Source organism: Homo sapiens, chromosome 1, assembly GCF_000001405.40.
Source record: "Homo sapiens chromosome 1, GRCh38.p14 Primary Assembly".
Classification (NCBI taxonomy): Eukaryota; Metazoa; Chordata; class Mammalia; order Primates; family Hominidae; genus Homo; species Homo sapiens.
Window position 1 is genome coordinate 212021370 of NC_000001.11, and position 21248 is coordinate 212042617.

Sequence of the window (21248 nt, forward strand, 5' to 3'; positions counted from 1 at the left end):
ATATTGAAATAGTAATCTGGAAATCGCTACTTTTAGATACATAATAATGAAAAAAAATTTTTTAAAGGTAAGAGTTAAGAATATTCAAAGCCATAAAATAAATCTCAACACATTTAAAAGGACTGAAATCATACAACGTATGTTTTCTGACCACATGGAATTAAATTAGAAATAAGAAAAAAAAAAGCACGTTTAACCCATAGGTGGCTCATGCTTGTAATCTCAACACTTTGGAAGGCTGGGAAAAGAAGGACTGCTTGAGCTCAGGAGTTCATGACCAGCCTGAACAACACAGTCAGACCTCATCTCTTAAAAAAAAAAAAAAAAAAAAATCCAAGTGTGGTTGTGTGTGCCTGTGGACCCAGCTACTGAGGAGGCTGAGGTGGACGAATCACTTGAGCCTGGGAAGTTGAAGCTGCAGTGAGCTGTGATTGTGTCACGGTGCTCCAGCCTGGGCAGCAGTGCAAGACCCCATCTCAAAAAAAATTTTTTAATAACAAATAAATAAATAACCCACAGCTGAAAGAAGAAATTAGAAAAATATTTTGAACTGAATGAAAATAAAAGCACAATCTATGGGATGCAACTAGAGTAGTGCTTCAAGGAACATTTATAACATTGAAGGTTTATATCAAGAAAGAAGAAAGTTCTCAAATCAATGATCTAACACAGGTACCAACATAATTCAATGTGGAAACAATAATCTTTGAAACGTGATTCTGGAAAAACTAGATAAGCATAAGCAACAAGAATCAACCTCCACCCTTAACTTGCATCATACACAAAAATTAACTCAAAATGAACCACAGACCTCAGTGTAAGAGCTAAAATTATAAACTATGTAGAAGAAGACATAGAGACAATTTTTATGAGCTTAGGTTAGGCAAAGAATTCTTAGATAAAACAAAAGGCATAAACCATAAAATAAAAAAGTGCTAAGTTAAATTCCATCAAAATTTAAAACTTCTGCTCTTCAAAAGACACTGTTAAGAAGACGAAAAGACAACCACATGCTGAAAGAAAACATTTACAAAACACATATGTGATAAAGGACTTCATCCACAGTTGTTGTAATTCCATAATACAAACCAACTTTTTAAATGGACAAGAATTGAAGAGAAATTTCATTGAGGAAGAAATATGTATGGCAAATATAAGCACATGAACAGATGCTCAACAGTGTCATCAGGGAAATGACAATTTAAAACTCCACTAAGATACCATTACACATTCACTAGAATGGCAAAAACTTTAAAAAGACCAACAATGTCAAGTGCTAATGAGGATATGGGATAACTATAACTCTCATACCTTGTTAGTGGGAATGTAAAACTGTACAGCTCTTTTGACAACCCTCTGGCTCTTTCCTTTACTTTTCATTTTTCTTTTATTTTAGATTCAGGGGGTACATGTGCAAGTTTGCTAATGGGTATACTGTGAGATGCTGAAGTCTGGGGTACGCATGATCCCATTACCCAGGTAGTGAGCATAGTACCCAATAAGCAGTTTTTCAACTCTTCCCCTCTCCCTCCCTTCCTCCCTACTTTTAAAAGTCCCCAGTGTCTACTGTTCCTCTCTTTATGTCCATGTGTACCCAATGCTTAGCTCCCACTTATAAGTGAGAACCTACAGTATTTGGTTTTCTGTTCCTACATTAATCTGCTTAGGGTAATGGCCTCCAGCTGCATCCATGTTGCTGCAAAAGACATGTTTTCATTCTTTTTTATGGCTGCATAGTATTCCATGGTATATATGTACCATGTTTTCTTTATCCAATCCATGACTGACAGGCATCTAGGTTGATTCCACATCTTTGCTATTGTTAACAGTGCTGGGATAAACATATGAGTACATGTGTCTTTTGGGCAGAATGATTTATTTTCCTTTGTGTATATATCCAGTAATGGGATTACTGGGTTGAATGGCAGTTCTAAGTTCTTTGAGAAATCTCCAAACTGCTTTCTACACTGGCTGAACTAATTTATATTCCCACCAACAGTGTATATATAAGCATTCCCTTTTCTTCACAGCCTCACAGCATGTTATTTTTTGACTTTTCAATAATAGCCATTTTGACTGGTGTGAGATGGTATCTTACTATGGTTTTAATTTACATTTCTCTGATGATTACTGAAGCTGAGCATTTTTTTCATGTTTGTTGACTGCTTGTATGTCTTCTTTTGAGAATGCTTTTTCATGTCCTTTGCCCACTTTTTAATAGGGTTATTTGGTTTTTGCTTGTTGAATTAAGTTCCTTATAGACTCTAGATATTACACCTTTGTCACATGCATAGTTTGCAAATATTTTCTCCCATTCTGTAGGCTGTTTACTCTGTTGATAGTTTCTTTTGCTGTGCAGATGCTCTTCTGCTTAATTAGGTCCCACTTGTCCATTTTTGGTTTTGTTGCAATTGCTTTTGAGGATTTAGTCACAAATTCTTTCCCAATGCTGATTTTCTTCTAGGATTCTTAGAGTTTGAGGTCTTACATTTGAATATTTAATCCACCTTAATTTTTGTATATGGTGAAAGGTAGGGGTCCAGTTTCATTCTTCTGCATAGGGCTAGCCAGCTATCCCTGTACCATTTATTGCATAGGGAGTCCTTTTCCCATTGCTTATTTTTATCGACTTTGTTGAAGATCAGATGGCTGCAGGTGTGCAGCTTTATCTCTGGGTTCTCTATTCTGCTGTCTATGTGACTGTGTGTGTACCAGTACCATGCTGTTTTGGTTACTGTGGCCTTACAAAATAGTTTGAAATTGGGTAATGTGATGCCTTCAGTTTTGTTAGTTTGCTTAGGATTGGTTTGGCTATTTACGCTCTTTTTTGGTTCCATATGAATTTTAGAAGAGTTTTTTTTTTCTAATTCTGTGAAAAATGATGTTGATAGTTTGATAGTAATAGCACTCTGTAGATTGCTTTGGGCAGTTTGGCCATTTTAATGATATTGATTCTTCCAATCCATGAGCATGGAATGTTTTTCCATTTGTGTCACCTAAGATTCCTTTTGGTAGTGTTTTGTAGTTCTCGTTGTAGAGATCTTTCACCTCCTTGGTTAGATGTATTCCTAGGCATTTTATTTTTTGTTTGGTCTTTCTTAATGCAGGTAAACATACTATATACATAGCAATACTACTTTCAGCTATTTATCCAAATGAAATGAAAACATATGTCCACACAAACATCTGTATGCAAATATTCACAGCAGCTTTATTCATTAATAGCCCCAAACTGGAAACACATATGTTAATCAACTAGTGGATGAATAAACAAATTGTGGTATATCCATACAATGAACTACTACTCAGCAATAAAAAAGGAACCAGTTACTGATGCATACAACAACAAAGGTGGATCTCTGTTGTGCAGCTTTGAAATGATTACAAACACATAGTCTGCTATTGTGAGTGAAATTTTCTGCTGTGATAAGAACATGGAGTGTAATCTCCCTCCCTGATGACATGGCTCCTAGCATTGAAAATCTTGTTGTCATCATGGATCTCCACTGTTGGTCTGATCATCTCTCCAGAGAACATCTCATAGAAAGGTACACCTCAAACTTCAATTAGACTACATTCACAGAGGCCTGTTTCCATCCTAAATGCGCAACTAGACTTTACTAATTTGACTCTAAATGAAACTAGTATTCACTCACATGTGGTTTCTGGACTTTGTCTATCAAACGTGTTCCCTGTGAGATGTGTTCTTGTTATTCTCCCTCTCTAAACATTGTGAAAAAGGCAGGGAAAATTCTTTCTGTATGGTAATAAACTGCGTGATTTGTGAAATCATACCTTATTTTAACCACATAAAACGATCTCAAAATCATTATGCTGAGTGAAAGAAGCCAGACCTGAAGGACTACACTTAACTTACTGTATCATTCTATTTTATATGACATTATGGAAGAGGCAAAACTATAGGGATAAAAAACAGATTGGTGGTAGCCAGGAGCTAGAGAGAGGGAACTGACTGCACAGGGGCATGAGGAAAGTTTTTGGGGTAAAGGAAATATTCTATGTCTTGACTATGGTCATGGTTTCATGACTGCATACATTTGGTGAATTTTATCTGATACAAATTATACCTCACTAAATCTGATATTTAAAAAATTAAAAAAAAAACCCAACCAAGAAAAAAGAGTTAATATTCAATTTTCTAAAAAATGCATTAAGAATTTGCCCTTTCTTATGCCCTTTTAAGGTTGATGTGGTGCTTTAAGAAGCTAACATAGAAGGATAAAGTAAGTCTCTACAAAACCCAGAGAAGAGACTGGAAAACTCCTCTCTGGATCCTGCCTGGAGTCACAGCTGTACCAGGAAAAAAAAAAAAAAATTCACTAAGAATGAATACCTTGGTAAGGATTTAACAGCATCAATTTCAAATGTCTCTGTTTAGTATTTTACCAGTCACAAAATGCTGATTATGTCCTCACAGGAATAAGTATCTTAGAATATCTCTGTCCAGTAACCTTTGATTATTCTTAAAAAAAACAACAAAGGAGGCCAGGCACAGTGGCTCATGCCTGTAATCCCAGCACTTTGGGAGGCCGAGGCTGGCAGATCACCTGAGGCCAGGAGTTCAAGACCAGCCTGGGCAACATGGTAAAACCCCGTTTAAATACAAAAATTAGCCCAGCGTGATGGCAGGCACCTGTAATCACAGCTACTAGGGAGGCTGAGGCATGAGAACTGCTTGAACTCGGGAGGCGGAGGTTGCAGTGAGCCAATATCACGCCACTGCACTCCAGCCTGGGTGACAGAGACCCTGTCTCCAAAAAAAACAAAAAGACAAAGGAAATCTGAAGGCTTTTCCTAGTTGCCACAATGTTTCATACAAAAGACAACCACAAAGTAAAACTGCATAGGTAATTTCTATCATTTACTAATGGGTGATGTTCCGTAATGCACTCATGTTAGTTATTCAGTACTTAGAACATTATTTCCTCATAGGAAAATAATAGCACTATCGGCACTCACAGTACTCTGGAACCTAATAACCATTTATAATAAATGTTTCTATGGGAAAATTAATTAACATTTCTAACTGAGATAGAACACATCCCTCCTTCATCTGCTCCCTCCTCCCCTTCACCCTCTTACACACACAAAGAACTGCCTCTGAAGCTCTAGAAATCCTTTTCCTATCAAACACAACGCCAAAAGGGATAATTCTAAGTAGCTGGCAGTGTGGCTCATGTAGCCTTACTTTTCTAAAAGCCTGATATGAAAAACGGGTCAAGGGACACACAGGGCAGAGAAGGGGAAAGACATAGCTGAGGATGGAGGTGAGAAGGAACAGAGATGTGTGCTTACGTATATGTGTTGGCAAAGGGGTTGAAAAAATCCACAGTAATTGGATTGTTTCATTTTCTTCTCACTGTCAGTAGCTGAGTTAGATACAAAGGATGGTAAAGTTCTGTTTGTAATGAATTAACCTTGGCTGAGATGAAAAAGGCATAGTAGGAAACAGCCTATGTACAGGTAGTCTCCTTGACAGAATATAATCATGTTTTATCTTCCCTTGAAAAACAGAACCAAAGACCATATTGATTTGTTTAAACATGCTGATTTAAAATGTACCAAAGATTATTTTGAATGAAGCGAGAGAATGTTTTGATTTATCTAATATCATCAAACTTTTTTCTCTGAGATAAAATAGACTCTCATTCCTCTGTAACAACGCCACGGGGTAAATGAACTAAAGAATATTAAACCTCTTCTGTATTTTCTGATGTAAGAGCCCTCCTTAGGAAAGAGGTAGTGAGAATTCAGGCTGGCTCCGAAGGACAGGAGCTAAGGTGAAAAAGAAGGAAAAAGTGCTTTAAAGGCCTATTACTTAGCAACAGCCCTGGGTTGGGGTAGTATGGTACTCATCTTGCTTGCTCTAGGCCAATTTTGTAAGCACTGGAAAACAGGAGCTCAGCACGTTCCAGTTCTAGTATAAGAGGGGCTAGACATTTTATTTGTATTGCTTGCTACAGGAAGAATGCCCTGGTCATAAGACCACTAATCATAAGAATACTACTGTAAGCCCAGAGATAAGATTAAGAAGGAGGGATGTGATTGCTATACCTACATTTTATTTTGTATTCTTCCACCAAAAAAAAACAAAAACAAAAACAGATCTCTCTTCCTTTTCTGTGCCTGGACTTAAACAGTGCTTAACTCAGTTGCAACATGCATGTAGACCAGGGAAACTAAAATAGGCTGTAAAATCATTTATTCATTCAAAATTCATTTGGCAGTAGTAAAGCATTCATTATTCTAACATTATTTCGCACTTAAAGTGTGCAGAGCTTTTTGCCAGGCTAGTGGTTTTCAGCTTGGTTCTGCATCAGCAATATCTGCTAAGTTTTTGAAAAATATCTATGCTATGGGTTTTACTCCAAACCTACTAAATATATGGGGCAGAGTCCCAGGCATCTGTTTAACTACTTTGAAAAGGTTGGCATCGAGATTCCTTTTTTTTTTCTTGAGACAGTCTCACTCTGCCGCCCAGGCTGGAGTGCAGTGGCGCAATCTCAGCTCACTGCAACCTCCGCCCCCCGGGTTCAAGTGATTCTTGTGACTCAGCCTGCCGAGTAGCTGGGATTATAGGCGTGCACCATCACACCTGGCTAAGTTTTATATTTTTAGTAGAGACAGGATTTCACCATGTTGGCCAGGCCAATCTCAAACTCCCAACCTCAGGTGATCCTCCCGCCTCAGCCTCCCAAAGTACTAGGATTCCAGGCGTGAGCCACTGCGCCCAGCCAGCACCTAGATTCTCAAGTTAACTTCTGCCACTTGATAACTTATTTAACTAGCCTGCCCACACTGATTATACTGGAGTTAGAAAACTACTAGGCTGCTGAATTTGGTCCTCAGAATGCTTTTATCTGGCACAATGTTTTTAAAGGTTTCGAACACACTGTCAAGTTTTACAAATCATACTTCACATAAAACCCCAGGATCTCTGGTTTTAGAAAAGTAAAAGATCTAAAATCTTACTGAAGAAGGTAGAAGTGTCTGACCAAAGAAACATAGTAGTACTGCAGAAACATTACAGTACTGCAGGTCCATGTTGAAGGTCAGTGTAGATTCGGCTCCCATTTATGATGATAGCCATGTACCCCACTGTATGACTTTCTGCAGCAATTTTTGACTGCCTTTGGGGATACATGAGTAGAATGGAACCTTGGATGTGAATTTAAAGTACTGGTAAGAAAGTAAATGCAGTTAATAAAATGAAGGACCATGAAATCTAAGCTGAACAAAGAAGTAAAACAGGTACAGAAATGTAGAGAGGTGAAATACCGAGGTCTGAATGAAAATAAAGACTAGCCAAAATAGCAGTTAATCATAATGATAATGATGATACACATGAAGTGCTTATTCTGTGCCAGTCACTTTAAGCACTTTGCATGTATTAAAGTCTCACTAAAAATCACATAAATTAGGTACCATTATTTTCCCCATTTGAAAGGTGAGGAAACAGGCACAGACAAGCTAAGCAATTTGCGTAAGAAACAACAATGCTGACAAATGACAGAGCTGGGATTCAAATTCTGGCAATGTAGCTCCAAAGGCTATAGTGCTAACCACTATGCTAAAATGCATCTCTAGCAAGCAACTAGAAAGAAAGAGATTAAGATTCAAGAATGAGACATTTAAATTAGTGATTAAATGGTGGAATTCTGAGGTGATGAATTCTAGGGAATTAGGGGAATACCATAAATTATGGTAAACTTGGGGTTTGGGATACACATTAATCAAGTTTTCAAAACAGCACAAATCTCCAAGTAGCATCTATCAGCAGTTCTTAGCTGCAAGCAACAGAAGCTAACTCTGGCTTATGAGGCAGAAAATGAGTTTATTAAAAGCTTAAGAAACAATTTTAAGGCTAAATTTCTAGGAACACCTAATACCACACTACCCAACCAACTGGATGGAAGAACCCTGTCTTTGATAGGAAACACCAGATGCAACAATTAGCTCTGCTGTCATCTAGGAATATCGTAGCCATTGTTGTTGCTGCTGTAAGCTAGAAATACTGCTGCTGCCATGGCAGAACTGTGAGTGGACACTTCAACTCTTCCTTCTTGCATCTCTAACTTCTAAATCAGACAGTGTGAAGGAGGTGTGTCTGACTGGCAGAGCCTAAGTCAGATCCTGCACTCTTGCAAGGGAAACTAGGAAATAAGTTTTTGCTTCTACCTTAGTAAGACAAGGTTCATGATATGGGACATTCCTTAAGCATAAAAAGAGTGTTCAAAATATATTAAGCAACCATCAACATAACTAACATCCACTACAAAGAACACCACAAATAAAGCATTACCAAACAAACACAATTTAGGACAATTTGTGACATACATTTGCTTTAGCTAAGAGATGAGGATGATTCAAAATTGAACCATAACACGAACATATCTTAAAATCTATACATTAATAAAAGGTGTGTGGGGGGACATGGGTAGAAACATGAACACAAACATACAACCCACAGCTTAAAAAATTGATGGCAAAGCCCATTTTTATATTTAAAAAGCAGAAATAGAAACAAGTAAAATGACAGTGAAAACTAATGATGCATTAATAAGGCAGCATCCATCCCCCAAATTTCAGAAAATGTCTGTAAACGTACATGGCAAGATGTATGCAACATCATCCAGTATGCACATGAGAATACTAATCTAGAATTCTAAACAAATTTGAGTTTATGGATACCAACTTCTAGGAATATTTAATAACCCACTTTGCAAATTCCAAGACAGTAAATCTTAGTTATATATAAGAATGAGTCTGTGGGTTTCAGTAAAAACTTGAATTTTTGGATTAGTTCATAGCCCATCAAGGAATTACCAACCAGGCTGCTGGTTTTTATGTTGCATTAAGTTGCCCAGAGTCTCACCTTAGCTTCAATTCTACATGATTTTTTGTTTTTTTTTTTTGAGATGGAGTTTCATTCTTGTCGCCCAGGCTGGAGTGCAATGGCATGATCTCAGCTCACTGCAACCTCTGCCTCCTGGGTTCAAGTGACTCTCCTGTCTCAGCCTCCTGAGCAGCTGGGATTACAGGTGCCTGCTACCACCCCCGGCTAATTTTTGTATTTTTAGTACAGATGGGATTTCACCATCTTGGGCAGGCTGGTCTCGAACTCCTGACCTCAGGTGATCCGCCCGCCTCGGCCTCCCAAAGTGCTGGGATGACAGGTGTGAGTCACTGCGCCCGGCCTAATTCTATATGATTTTATAGGTCCGCTTCTCAACACTCTCAGACTAAGTGTGGTCTGGCAGCAGAGATTCTCAGGAGAAAGAATTTGACTCAGTGTGGGTCACATGCCTACTTCTGAATCAATCAGTTATGGTATGGAATTAGTCACCTGGAACAAATCTGGCTGCTGAGGCCTTTCTCTTGAGGAGGGCCTATGAAGATACTTCCCCAAAGGCCTCATATTTGTTTACTGAAACACCAACAACATCTGAGCCATATCGATAATGTAAAAGCAATCTGTGGTCTTTCTTGACAAACTTTCTTGATGGTCTGAGAATTCAGGTATTTTGGAATACAGGTGAGGTGACACCGTCTAAGGGGGAAATTAGAGTGCAGAGACAGTTGTCCTGATTCACATCATTTCTCTATTTCATAACTAAATTTTTCATTAAGCACACCATCAAGGTTTTTCACACAGCATTACATTCACCAGCACCTCTAGTAACAAATCTATCCTCTATATTTCCTCCCTTCCCATTGCATCAGCTGCAAGAAAGGGAATGAGTCACTGCTCTCTTCCCCATTGCTTTCATCTCATCCTTTCCAAGGTCAACATTGCAGAAGGCAGATAGGCTGAATAATATCATTTAAGAGACTCCTCTTTTCCCAGGGGGAAGGAGATCTTGCATAAGTTTTCCCAAATCATCAGGATAACCTTCCATCAGCTGATCTAAAAATGTTTAGACTAAGAAATTATATTAGTGAAAAAGTTACACTAATTTTTGTGAGATGCATCCTTTATATTGCCAATTATGTATAGTAATGATCATATCATGAAATGTGTCAGATAAACATAAGCTGTAATGTATTTGATTATGACACTTAACTCTGCTTGTGTATGCTCAGTCTTACAGAAGCTCAAGCAGCATGGCCATCAGCCTACAACTTTCAATGCCTTCCCATTGCACTCTGCACAAAATCCAACTTCTTGTCCTGACTAACGGCACCACATTTGATCTAGCATTGTCCATCTCCTTACATTTGTATGCAATCTCCTTAAAGATGTCTTGTTTGCCAACATAGCCCCTAGTCTGAGTATAGAGCCTGAGACAATGCAGGTGGTCAGTAAATATCTGTTGAGTAAATGAATGGCTATCACATGAAGGATGATTTTCCTGTTACTAACTACATCCTAAAGTAATGGAATTGAGTCAGCTTCAAAATAGTATTCACTTATTCCTATAGAGATCAGAAACAATCAGCTTACTGCCAATGCTTGCTCAAAAGGCTCAGAATAAAGTACAACAGTTATAAATATATAACAGGTTATGAATGGCAGCATTTCCTGAGTGTGTTTCTAAGGACACCAGTGCCACAAAATATTTCTTTAAAATAGCGTTCAAAGGTTACATCTTATGCCTAACTGACTAATCATCTCCATTTGGATGTCTAAGAGACATCTCAAATTTAACATGACCCAAACTGATTTGATTTCAGTAAACAATACATACATCCTCCCAGTAGCTCATACCAAAAACCTCTAAGTTTTCTTGACCACTTACTCTTATATCCTCATCTAATCCATTAGCAAATCTTCTTGGCTCTACTTTGAAAGTATATCCAGAATCTCAGCACTTCACACATTTTCAGTGTCACCATCTCGGTCTAAGCCACTATTTTCTTTTCCCTGGATTGTTATAGTTGCCTTCTCATTGGTCTCCCTACTTGGGTCCCTGACCCTCCCCACTTCAGTCTATTCTCAGCACAGTAGCCAGACTGATACTTTTCAAAGGAAAGTCAGATCATGTCACACACCTGCTGAAAATCCTCCATGGTTTCCTTTCTCACTCAGAATGAAAGCCAGTCCTTTTGATGGCTTGCACGGCCCTACCTGAACGGGACTCTGGTTATCTTTCTTTTTTTTTTTTCGAGACAGTCTTGCTCTGTTGCCCAGACTGGAGTGCAGTGGTGTGATCTCGGCTCACTGGAAGCCCCGCCTCCCAGGTTCACGCCATTCTCCTGCCTCAGCCTCCCAAGTAGCTGGAACTACAGGTGCCCACCACCACGCCTGGCTAATTTTTTGTATTTTGTTTAGTAGAGACAGGGTTTCACCATGTTAGCCAGGATGGTCTCGATCTCCTGACTTCGTGATCCGCCCGCCTCAGCTTCCCAAAGTGCGGGGATTACAGGCGTGAACCACCACGCCCGACTGACTCTGGTTATCTTTCTATACTCATTGCCTATTACTTTGCTCCAGATAACTGCATGCAAAGGAGGCTTCTACCTCAGGGCCTTTGTACTTGCTGTTCTTCCACTTGATTGAGGAGGTCTTTCTTGCCTATACTTCATAAAATAAGAAATCAACTCCAGCCCCAGATCAGTTTTCTCCAGTCCCTTTCATTGCTTCATTTTCCTTTATAATATGTATCACTAACTGTCACGTTTGCTATATTTGCGGAGTGTCTGCATCTGCTGTCTAGAATGTAAGCTCTATAGGGGCAGGAGTTTTGTCTCATTAACTGCCATGTTCCTAGTACAAAGCCCGATCAAATAAGTCATGTGTCTGAGTGTGTATGCTGAGGTGGGGGAGATATTTCAGAAACAGTATTCCTTGGAGTTTGGGAACGAAAAAAAGAGTTGGAACTTGTAGCCTTCTGACCTTTAGCTCACAAAACAGAAATACTTTAACAGGTACAAGATGAAATGACTCAATATTTAAAATACTCAACTATATTCTACACGAAACTGGCTATTTCTATAACTTAATTTCCTAACAGCTTTAAAAGTTACTACAGATGAGATGAAAAAGAACAAGTCATCTTTCTGAGCCTGAGATTCACCTGTAAAACACTCACGCCAGGCATTGCTGGGAGGAGTGCAAATGATCACTTACTCTGTGTCTAAGATTGACACCTGATTTCTTTCCTATAGATATAAAATATTTTCATTTCAACTCTTCTTTAAAAAGGAAAAATTGTGGTTTTTTTCTTACAACTGCAAAATTTGAGGAATTAAACCATTCTAGACTCCTCTTCAGTGCCCCATCTTTATCCCTGTTCCACAACCACTATCCTATTGTCAGCATGAGACAAGCTCAGCTGCACCAGAATGGTAGAAAATGTCCTTAGAACTCGTAGGGATATTAGATATTATCCTGACCTGTAACTTTCACTGAGGAATAAGAAAGAAATGTATCAGAATGAGGAGGAAAGTGTTTGAAAAACACATTTAAGGCCGGGCGCGGTGGCTCATGCCTGTAAATCCCAGCACTTTGGAAGGCCGAGGCGGACGGATCACCTGAGGTCAGGAGTTGGAGACCAGCCTGGCCAACATGGTGAAACCCCGTCTATACTAAAAATACAAAAATTAGCCGGGCGTGGTGGCGGGCGCCTGTAATTCCAGCTACTCGGGAGGCTGAGGCAGGAGAACCGTTTGAACTCGGGAGGCGGAGGTTGCAGTGAGCCGAGATGGCGCCACTGCACTCTAGCCTGGGCAACAGAGCAACACTCTGTCTCCAAAAAAAAAGAGAAAAACACATTTAGTATTATACTTTTTTTTTTCAGAGGAGAAAACCCCTAAAGATTTGGTAAGAGAAGGAAAAGTTCAACATAATTTTCTTGGTTGATGGGGGTGCACTAAAGATACTGAGACTCAACCAAAGGAATATCCCATTAGGGGGCTGTGAAATTTTTGTGTTTATCAAAATAAGGTAAAAGCTTTTTTAAGAGCCTGAGAAACTCTTATTTAGACTAACCCACTAAAAATATTCACAGTTTAAAAAATAAACAGAAAAAGAGTCCCAAAAAAGTTAATAGACATGTCCAACTCAGAAAACTGGGAAGTGGCTCAAACCCTTCTGAGTTCTAGTCCAGTTCTCCAACATTATATATTGGCTACGATTAATCAAGATTTAATTGTATACCAGCTGCCGAAATGTTTCCCGTACAATAAAAATCCTCAATATGAAATAAAGGTTTCATATTACTAGTCGAGTTCTTTACTAACAAATTTCCGACCTTGCCTCCCATATCCACATCTAAGAAGGGAGGTATATCTCTTCAGCATTTACTAAATGCTTCTTTTGCATACCATTAAGTCACTTAATACAATTCTGCCGGCTCAATGGTACTGTACCCACTTTGCAGACGACAAGCCGAGGCTAGATGAAGTTAATCATAAAATCAGCGGCATTGAAACTTAACTCAGTGTAACCCCAAAGCTCCCTCTACACCAAGCTGCTCCCTGTACGGCAACAGAACTCCTGGAACTTGTCCGCAGAGAATGAGCAGGGCCCTTGCTTTTTTATGGTCTTGGCCAGGTTTAGCCTGCCTTGTAACCCGCAGGTAACAGAGCTATGGAAATCAAATGAATCGCTGTCAAGTCGGTGCAAGATTACTATTCAGCACATTTCATGAAGACCTGGTCTCAACTGAACAGACTGAAAACCAATTTCACAATTTCTTTGCAGTGTCTCTTAGAAACTAGCCACTGTCACTGCTTAGAAAATCGGGGGACTGCTCCCTCAAGTGGTCAAAACGGGCCTCTCACTAGAGCTCGCTACTTGTTTAGCCGGTATAAGGCCAGTCACACAATCCTGCAAATTTCCCGCAACCTCCCGAAGGGGTCAAAGCCCACGCCCCAGCAAAAGCACAGGCGCTCCCCGCCCAGCGAAGACATGCGCATGCGCCTATCCGTCTTCTCCCAAAGCAACCACCACCTGGTGGCGCCACTTCCCCCCACGCCTGTTTCACCCATTCAGCCCTCTCTTTCGAATACCTTTGTCCAATTCCATAAGGGCAGAGTTGGCATCCAGTTCCTGTTCGCCATAGCCGGCATCTGCCAGGAAAGACTTAGTTGAGTTTGACGCCATGACCCGAATAGTTACTCGACTAGCCTAGTCAGAAAGCTTGCAAACTCTACCCCAGGACCGCCATCTTCCCCCGCCGCCTTCTTGCTGGTTTTTCTTCCGCGCGCTGTCAAGCCCTGTTACGCATGCGCCCTGGTCACCCCGCGGTTTGTCCGCGCCTCTGCTACCCCCTGCGCAGGCGCTCAAGGAGCTCTTGGACTCCAGGTTCCCGCGGCTGGGAGAAAAGGAGGCGGGGATCCGAAGGGGGAAATGACTCTGAGGCGCCCGGACGTCGCTCGGAAGCCAATCAGAGAGCGTGACGTCAGTTTGGCGCGGAGTTTGGCGGCCGGGGCTTACAGTGGCGGGAGTTGGAGGCGATAACGATTTGTGTTGTGAGAGGCGCAAGCTGCGATTTCTGCTGAACTTGGAGGCATTTCTACGACTTTTCTCTCAGCTGAGGCTTTTCCTCCGACCCTGATGCTCTTCAATTCGGTGCTCCGCCAGCCCCAGCTTGGCGTCCTGAGAAATGGTGAGTAACGGTCCCAACCGCTGCTCGGAGCTGGCGGAATTCATTTCCCCCGAAACACACGCCACCTCCGACCAGGGCCGACTCCAATTCTGAACTCAGCTTCTGAGTTCTCCCATGGCAAGGGTAAATTAGTGTTAGCAGGGACTACTAAAGAAAGCTGTACTTTCATCCCCTCGGGACACTTGTAATCGTAATCGGGCTTTTAAAATCGTAACGTAGGCAGGGACGTCGAAATAACTGCCTTCCAAGGCCCCTTACAGCTTACATCTCCATTGCGCGTTAACGGGAAAATGCATGCATTTGTGTGTATATGTTTCCTTCAACGGTTATTTGAGATGCTCAAAACTCCTAATCATTGATTAATTCATTCGTTTGTTGTAGAATCTTAGTGAGCCCAGCTATGTGCTATAGGTATATACCAGTGAATATGACCCGCTGTTAAGGAACTCAGTCAAGCAGAGAAGACAGGATATCTGCTTCTAACAGGAACAAAATCTTATTTTCCCCGTTTACTACACGGTCATAAAAATTTAAATTATAGAGTGAAAGATGCCTGTAACCACATCCGCCAGAGATGACCCCTGTTAATAGATTGAAGTATATTATTCCAGATGTTTTCGACGCTAGAGGTAATACCTATTATTTTCAGAAATCGGATCAAAACGTCCAGTTTTTTCACTTTAATGGTATAAGTTGAACGTATTCCCATGTTAATACGTAGAAATCTAACTTATTTTCTTACGCTAAAACATTGGCAATAAGAGATTTGAGGTTAGATTTGGATGTCATCAACTTAAACTTTTTGGTAAGTTTCAGATAAGGGAGCTAACTACCCAGATTAACCTTGGACAGAAATAAAATCTCACTCATGTGAAGGTCGACTATAGCCAGAGGTTCTTTTTCCCCTTGAAACTATGTGGAAAACGAACCTGAGAAGGGAATTTTTATATTCAGCGATGAGTCTAGGAAAATAATATTGAGAAAGAGACTGAGAAGTAGTCCCTCAACTTCCTGCTAGCAGTCTGAAACTTTATACCATCCTTATTTATTTCCCTCTTAGATAATCTTTGTAATTATACTTAAATGCTCCTCTTTCTGTCTCTCCTGGGACCTTGTTTGAGTAACTTCTTTGTCCTCTGTTTAAGAGTGACAGTACGCACAGTGGCTAAGAACTCTGTCTTTGAAGTTAAACTGCCTGGGTTTTATTATACTTCCACACCTTACTATATGTGTGTTCTGGGGGAGCTGTTCAGCCTCTATTTTGTGACAGATTTTCTCCTAATTCTCCATGTGTTTACCTTTCCCTTCCCTCTTTCCTATTCTCAAGTACTCATTCGTTGTTACATAATAGTCACTGAAATTCATTCGTTATTATATGAAATCTATAGAATCATCTCCTTTCCTCTTCAGTGTTGGTGTTCCATCCTTGACCCCTTTTCTTCTTCTACCTACTCCTTTGGATGATCACAGCCACAACCAGGGCTTCTTCCACTTCTACATACATACAACCTTCTGTTACTTATATAGTAAGTCCTCACTTAATGTCTAGATAGGCTCTTGGAAACTGTGACTTTAGGGAAAACAGTGTATAACTAAACTAACTCTACCATAGGCTACTTGATATAAATAAGAATTGTTTCAGTGGCATATTTTGGTCACACAAACACCACCGAACTTCTAAAGAAAGACTCAAAGTACTTTTAATATTAAATGTTGAAATAATTGTGTGCTATACATATATTTGAGAAAGATTAATAAAAACAGGTGAGATAATTATCCAAGTTTTGGTGTATCAGCGAGTGACCTCGGTCATAGTGGTGGTGGGCTAAATCAAGGAATAAATGTTTGCAAAGTGAAAATTGGAAGGAGCACCTCCTACCACCACCCAGGTCAAAAACAATCACAAATATGGCAGCTCACTGAGCCCTTTCATACCAAATCGTTTATTGTCATTCATTTGTATGATTATTGTAAAGTTTACCCATTTTTATTTTACAATGATTTGTATTCATTCATTTTCTGACACACTTATTCCAGCTCAGGGCTGTGGGTGCCCGGAGCCTATCCTGGCAGCTCATGGTACAAGGTGGAAACCAGCTCTAGACCAGACACTATTTCATCACAGGAAGCACTCACACACACTCATTGTCTACTGGGACCATGTAGACACACCAGTGAACCTAACATACACATCTTTGGCATGTGGGAGGAAACCAGAGTACCTGGAGAAAACCCCTATGAACATGGGAAGAGCATGTACAAACTCCACACGGCCAATGGCCTCAAACAGGAATTGATTTTTTCCTCATGAACAGTATAACGAAATGACATTGTACAAAATTATGTTATTGGAAGACTTCCTGTACCTGAGATTCATTTCTATAAAAGCTGTGTGGGTTGATTAGCACCTAGACGGTCAATCCCACAAGCATCTCAAACTCAAATACCCAAAACTGAACTCAGCTTTTCCCCCAAACCTGCAATATTACCAATTTTAGAGAGTGGCCTCATTATTTAAACCTGCCAGAAACCTGAGTAAATTAAAGACTTCTTCATCTTCCTCACAGTTACACATTCAAAACATTTCGTTAAAATCTCTTGAATCCATCCTCTCTTCTTTATCTGTTATGATTATGCATCTTTACTGTATGCTGGATGTGTTCTATTTTTACTATTCCATTTCCCTAGGTTGGGCCCTAATGCCTTCTTGTCTGGATTGTAAGAAGTCTCCCAGATGGCCTCCTAGTTTGTCTGTCTTCGGTTTATTCTCCACATTGCTGCTAATGATCCTTCTAAAATGGAAATCTGATTACTCTTCTGTGTATTTTTAAATTGATATCTAAAAGTTTTTATTATAAACTTAAACAAATGCAAAGAATATAATTTCTGACCATATTGGGAATATTGACATTTTAAAAATAAAAATGCTATATCACTCCTTTAAGTGTATCTAATATAATTTAAATACTATAGTGATTTGATAATCACATCATCCATTTTTTAGAAAAATACAAACTCCTCTTTATCTGCTGGACATTCCATATAGCTGCTTTTTCCTCTTGAATTTATTTCCATTTCATTTCTCCTACAGAATTTCTCCTAATGTAATTTAATTTTATGCTTGAAAAGCTCTTTTACTGATCACTCTGTCATACCCTTCTGTGTCAAAAAATGTGTTTAAATTGCTGTTTTCTGTCATAAGCCTCCAAGTATTAAAACTTCTTTATGGATTGAATTTTCAATTCAATTATTAGTACTATATGATTGATTAAAACAATATAGATTACCAATTTTGATAATTATTAACCAAAAGTAAAATTTTATTGGAAGTCCATCTTTTTAAAGAGATGAATTTGGGTGTTTATGGTCCCTTTATTGAAGGAATTATTTAATTATCTCTTAGTTAAGGTTCCACCAGTTTATTTGTTTTTATTTAAAAATATTTGATACCCAAAAGTTTTTATTCTTTGGATCAGTGCAAGGTTTAAGATTGGGGCACGGGAATGCCTTTCTTTTATAAAGTGGAAGAAAGGAAGTGATGAAGGGAAAGGGAAAAAGTGGTACCTCAACCTTCTCAGAGACATCAGGTTTTTCAGACAGGTGAGTTTTAGAAATGCGTATATAGTCATCCAATTGCTTATAAATGGAGATAACATTTTGAGAAATGCATCATTAGGTGATTTTATCATTGTGCAAACATCACAGAGTATAAACACAAAGCTAGATAGTGTAACTACTACACACCTAAGCTATATATTTTTCCTAGGCTATAAACCTGTGTAGCATATTACTGTATTGAATACCGTAGGCAACTGTAACACAATGGTAAGTATTTGTGTATTTAAACATAGAAAAGGTTCAGTAAAAATAGGATATAAAAGATAAAAAATGGTAACACCTGTGGAGGGTGCTTACTATGAATGGGAGCTTGCAGGACTGGGGGTTGCTGTGAGTGAATCAGTGAGTGAGTAGTCAGTCAGCACGAAGACCTGGGACATTATACTACTGTAGACTTTATAAACACTCTATACTTAGGCTGCATTAAATTGATTAAAAAATACTTTCTTCAATAATAAATTAACCTTAGCTTACTGTAACTTTTAAACTTACAAACATCTTAAATTTTTTAACTTTTTGACCCTTGTGGTAACAGGTAGCATAAAGCACAGACACATTGTATAATTGTACAAAATATTTTATTTCTTCATATTCTTATTCTATAAGTTTTTTTATTTTAAATGTTTTTCTTTTCTTAACTTTTCAAACCTTTTGTTAAAAACTAAGACACAATAGGAATTTTTAAGCTCCATTATAATGTTGTAAGACTACCATTGTGTATGCGGTCTGTCTTTGGCCAAAATGCCATTACATGGCATATGACTGTATATCGTAGTTGAGTACAGTAGTACCTCCTTATCCTTGAAGGATATGTTCCAAGACCCAACCCTATGTATGCTGTGTTTTTTACTATACAGACACATACCTATGATTAAGTTTAGGCACAGTAAGAGATTAACAATAACTAATAATAACATAGAACAATTATAACGATATTCTGTAATAAAAGTTATGTGAAGGTGGCCTCTCGGAATATCTCATGGTGCTATATACTTGCCCTTCTCATGATGATGTGAGATGATATAATACCTACAACATGAAGAGATGAAGTGAGATGAATGACGTAGGCAGGCACTGTGATATAACATTAGGCTACTACTTCCAACTATGTGACAGACAAAGCAGCTTCTATGTGATATAACATTAGGCTACTACTCCCAACTATGTGACAGACACAGCAGCTAAGTGACTAAAGAGCAGGTAACGTCTATGGCACTGCTACTCTGGACACAGGGATGATTCATATCCTGGACAGGTCAGGGTAGGACAGTGTGAAATTTTCTTGCCACTCAAAATGGCACACAATTTAAAACATGAATTGTTTATTTCTGGAATTTTCAGTTTAATAGTTTCAGACCGTTGTTGACTATAGGCAACTGAAACCACAAAAAGCGAAACCACGGGTGAGGGGTAACTACTGTATCTGGAAATTGAGTCTCTGAAAACTCTCATGTTCTTGTATACTACTTGGAATATGTGCATGTAACTCCAGGGGCTTAAGTTGTACAATGAGGAAATAATAGCTTTTTCCAAATGTGTTGTGGAGGAAAGCATTACAGTTTCATGTTCATAACACAATAAGGATCCAAAAGTAGCTTAGGGTGGTTCATCAGTGAAGTGTGTATTGCAGGGATTGCATAAGTAGAGGGGTAGGCAAGGACCAATCACTCACCATTCATTGGTGTTTGGATGTTAATTATAGGCAGTGAGGCAGAGTTAAAGAGTCATTGTTTAATTGTAAAAAATTGTAGGTTTTTTGGAGTGTATCATCTTCATTTCAACCAAGTTGTTCAAAAGTCCCTTTTGAGTTTTTATTTTGCAGTTGATTTTTTTTTTTAATTCCAAAACGTGTATATTTACATAACCTTTGAACAGAGGCTTTTGTTTTTACACACTTATTCCGTAGGTTAATACTTGTGACCTCAACATAACTATTGCATTTTTGGCGGGGGGGTGGGGGGTGGGGACGGAGTGTCGCTGTGTTGCCCAGGCTGGAGTGCAGTGGCGAGGTCTCAGCTCGCGGCACGCTCCGCCTCCCAGGTTCACTCTATTCTCCTGCCTCAGCCTCCGAGTAGCTGGGACTACAGGCGCCTGCCACCACGCCTGGCTAATTTTTTTTTTATGTATTTTTAGTAGAGACGGGGTTTCACCGTGTTAGCCAGGATGGTCTCGATCTCCTGACCTCGTGGTCCGCCTGCCTCTGCCTCCCGAAGTGCTGGGATTACAGGTGTGAGAGACCGCGCCCGGCCTATTGCATTCTTTTAGTGGTCTTTAACAGCTCCTTTACAATGATATGTGATGCTGAAATTATGACGTGATGGCCCCAGAACTAATTAAATTTGGATTAAATTTCTTTGGTGCCCTTCTGTTGATTCATTCAGATTATGTCTATGAACATCCAAATGTAGATTTGTCTGAGGTTATGTCAGGCTAAGATGTATTCTCCACATAGTACTTTTGATGAAAAGTGAGGATTCAGAGTACCCTAAAATGTGAGTTTGTTAATTATTTAAGATGCTTTCAATAGATTGTAAACTCAGTGTTTCCTCCAATGCTTATTGAACATTTGGTTTTCAGTAATTACTTGTTGAATGAATGTTTATTTTATATATTTAAAATGTCTTGATCACAAATCAGTATAATAAAAACAAATCTCTGAAGATGTCTTTACTATGTAGGAGCATAGTGCACATTAGACCTCTGACCCAAGCAGAATAAACTTTTCTTCTACCCTGAGTCTCTTGTTCTCTGTTCTAAATTCAGTGAAAATTTACCCATCTTTCAAGACCTCCTGTAAAGACTCCCTGACCCACTACCACTAGCCAGGGCTAATTAAATGTTTTCTAGGGGTAGGTACATAACACTTCACTTTACAATTTCTCTAATATAATTTAAGGTACTATAATTGCTGCTATTGACATTTTAGATTCCTACAATTTCAGCACTAAAGGAAAACAGAAGTAAATTTGGTGAATATGTTACTGGCTATAGTAGCTGCATTGACATATTATTTTCTTTGGCTCTTTGACCATTGGATTTTGTATGATGTTCTGGAAT

General features: G+C 39.1%; 2 protein-coding genes and 1 non-coding gene across 12 annotated transcripts in view, besides 6 other annotated features; 2 read left to right on the forward strand and 1 right to left on the reverse strand.

Annotated features, from left to right (window-relative positions):
- The window catches only part of INTS7 (integrator complex subunit 7), a 95155-nt gene extending 80967 nt beyond the window's left edge, over positions 1-14188 (reverse strand). For all 7 annotated transcript variants that reach the window (NR_037667.2, NM_001199809.2, XM_047417179.1 and 4 more), the window contains exon 1: positions 13975-14188. Coding sequence is in view for 6 of the 7 variants with exons in the window: in NM_001199809.2 (NP_001186738.1) it covers positions 13975-14068 (94 nt within the window). In the remaining variant the exon portion in view is untranslated. The remainder of the gene's footprint in view (positions 1-13974) is intronic.
- Positions 4192-4313, forward strand: LOC124900448 (small nucleolar RNA SNORA26). Its single transcript, XR_007067402.1, has one exon. It is a non-coding gene; the product is annotated as a small nucleolar RNA SNORA26 (small nucleolar RNA).
- Positions 9432-9481: an enhancer, noted in NCBI's record as "active region_2495". NCBI's record gives its function as "activates an Ori minimal core promoter by ATAC-STARR-seq in GM12878 lymphoblastoid cells {active_cell/tissue: GM12878}" and the evidence as "EXISTENCE:reporter gene assay evidence [ECO:0000049][PMID:35858748]".
- Positions 14039-14248: an enhancer, noted in NCBI's record as "active region_2496". NCBI's record gives its function as "activates an Ori minimal core promoter by ATAC-STARR-seq in GM12878 lymphoblastoid cells {active_cell/tissue: GM12878}" and the evidence as "EXISTENCE:reporter gene assay evidence [ECO:0000049][PMID:35858748]".
- Positions 14039-14663: a biological region, named in NCBI's record as "NANOG-H3K27ac-H3K4me1 hESC enhancer GRCh37_chr1:212208838-212209374".
- Positions 14127-14663: an enhancer, noted in NCBI's record as "NANOG-H3K27ac-H3K4me1 hESC enhancer chr1:212208838-212209374 (GRCh37/hg19 assembly coordinates)". NCBI's record gives its function as "activates a minimal SCP1, AML or CMV promoter by ChIP-STARR-seq in primed H9 embryonic stem cells {active_cell/tissue: H9 hESC(primed)}" and the evidence as "EXISTENCE:reporter gene assay evidence [ECO:0000049][PMID:30033119]".
- Positions 14379-21248, forward strand: part of DTL (denticleless E3 ubiquitin protein ligase adapter) — a 69266-nt gene continuing 62396 nt past the window's right edge. For 3 of the 4 annotated variants that reach the window (NM_016448.4, NM_001286230.2, NM_001286229.2), the window contains exon 1: positions 14379-14573. In NM_016448.4, the coding sequence (NP_057532.4) occupies positions 14522-14573 (52 nt within the window). In that variant the 5' untranslated portion in view covers positions 14379-14521. Of the gene's footprint in view, positions 14574-14601; positions 14697-21248 lie in introns of those variants that run through there. The other variant, XM_011509614.2, reaches the window with a different exon arrangement.
- Positions 14409-14648: an enhancer, noted in NCBI's record as "active region_2497". NCBI's record gives its function as "activates an Ori minimal core promoter by ATAC-STARR-seq in GM12878 lymphoblastoid cells {active_cell/tissue: GM12878}" and the evidence as "EXISTENCE:reporter gene assay evidence [ECO:0000049][PMID:35858748]".
- Positions 14664-15198: an enhancer, noted in NCBI's record as "NANOG-H3K27ac-H3K4me1 hESC enhancer chr1:212209375-212209909 (GRCh37/hg19 assembly coordinates)". NCBI's record gives its function as "activates a minimal SCP1, AML or CMV promoter by ChIP-STARR-seq in naive H9 embryonic stem cells {active_cell/tissue: H9 hESC(naive)}" and the evidence as "EXISTENCE:reporter gene assay evidence [ECO:0000049][PMID:30033119]".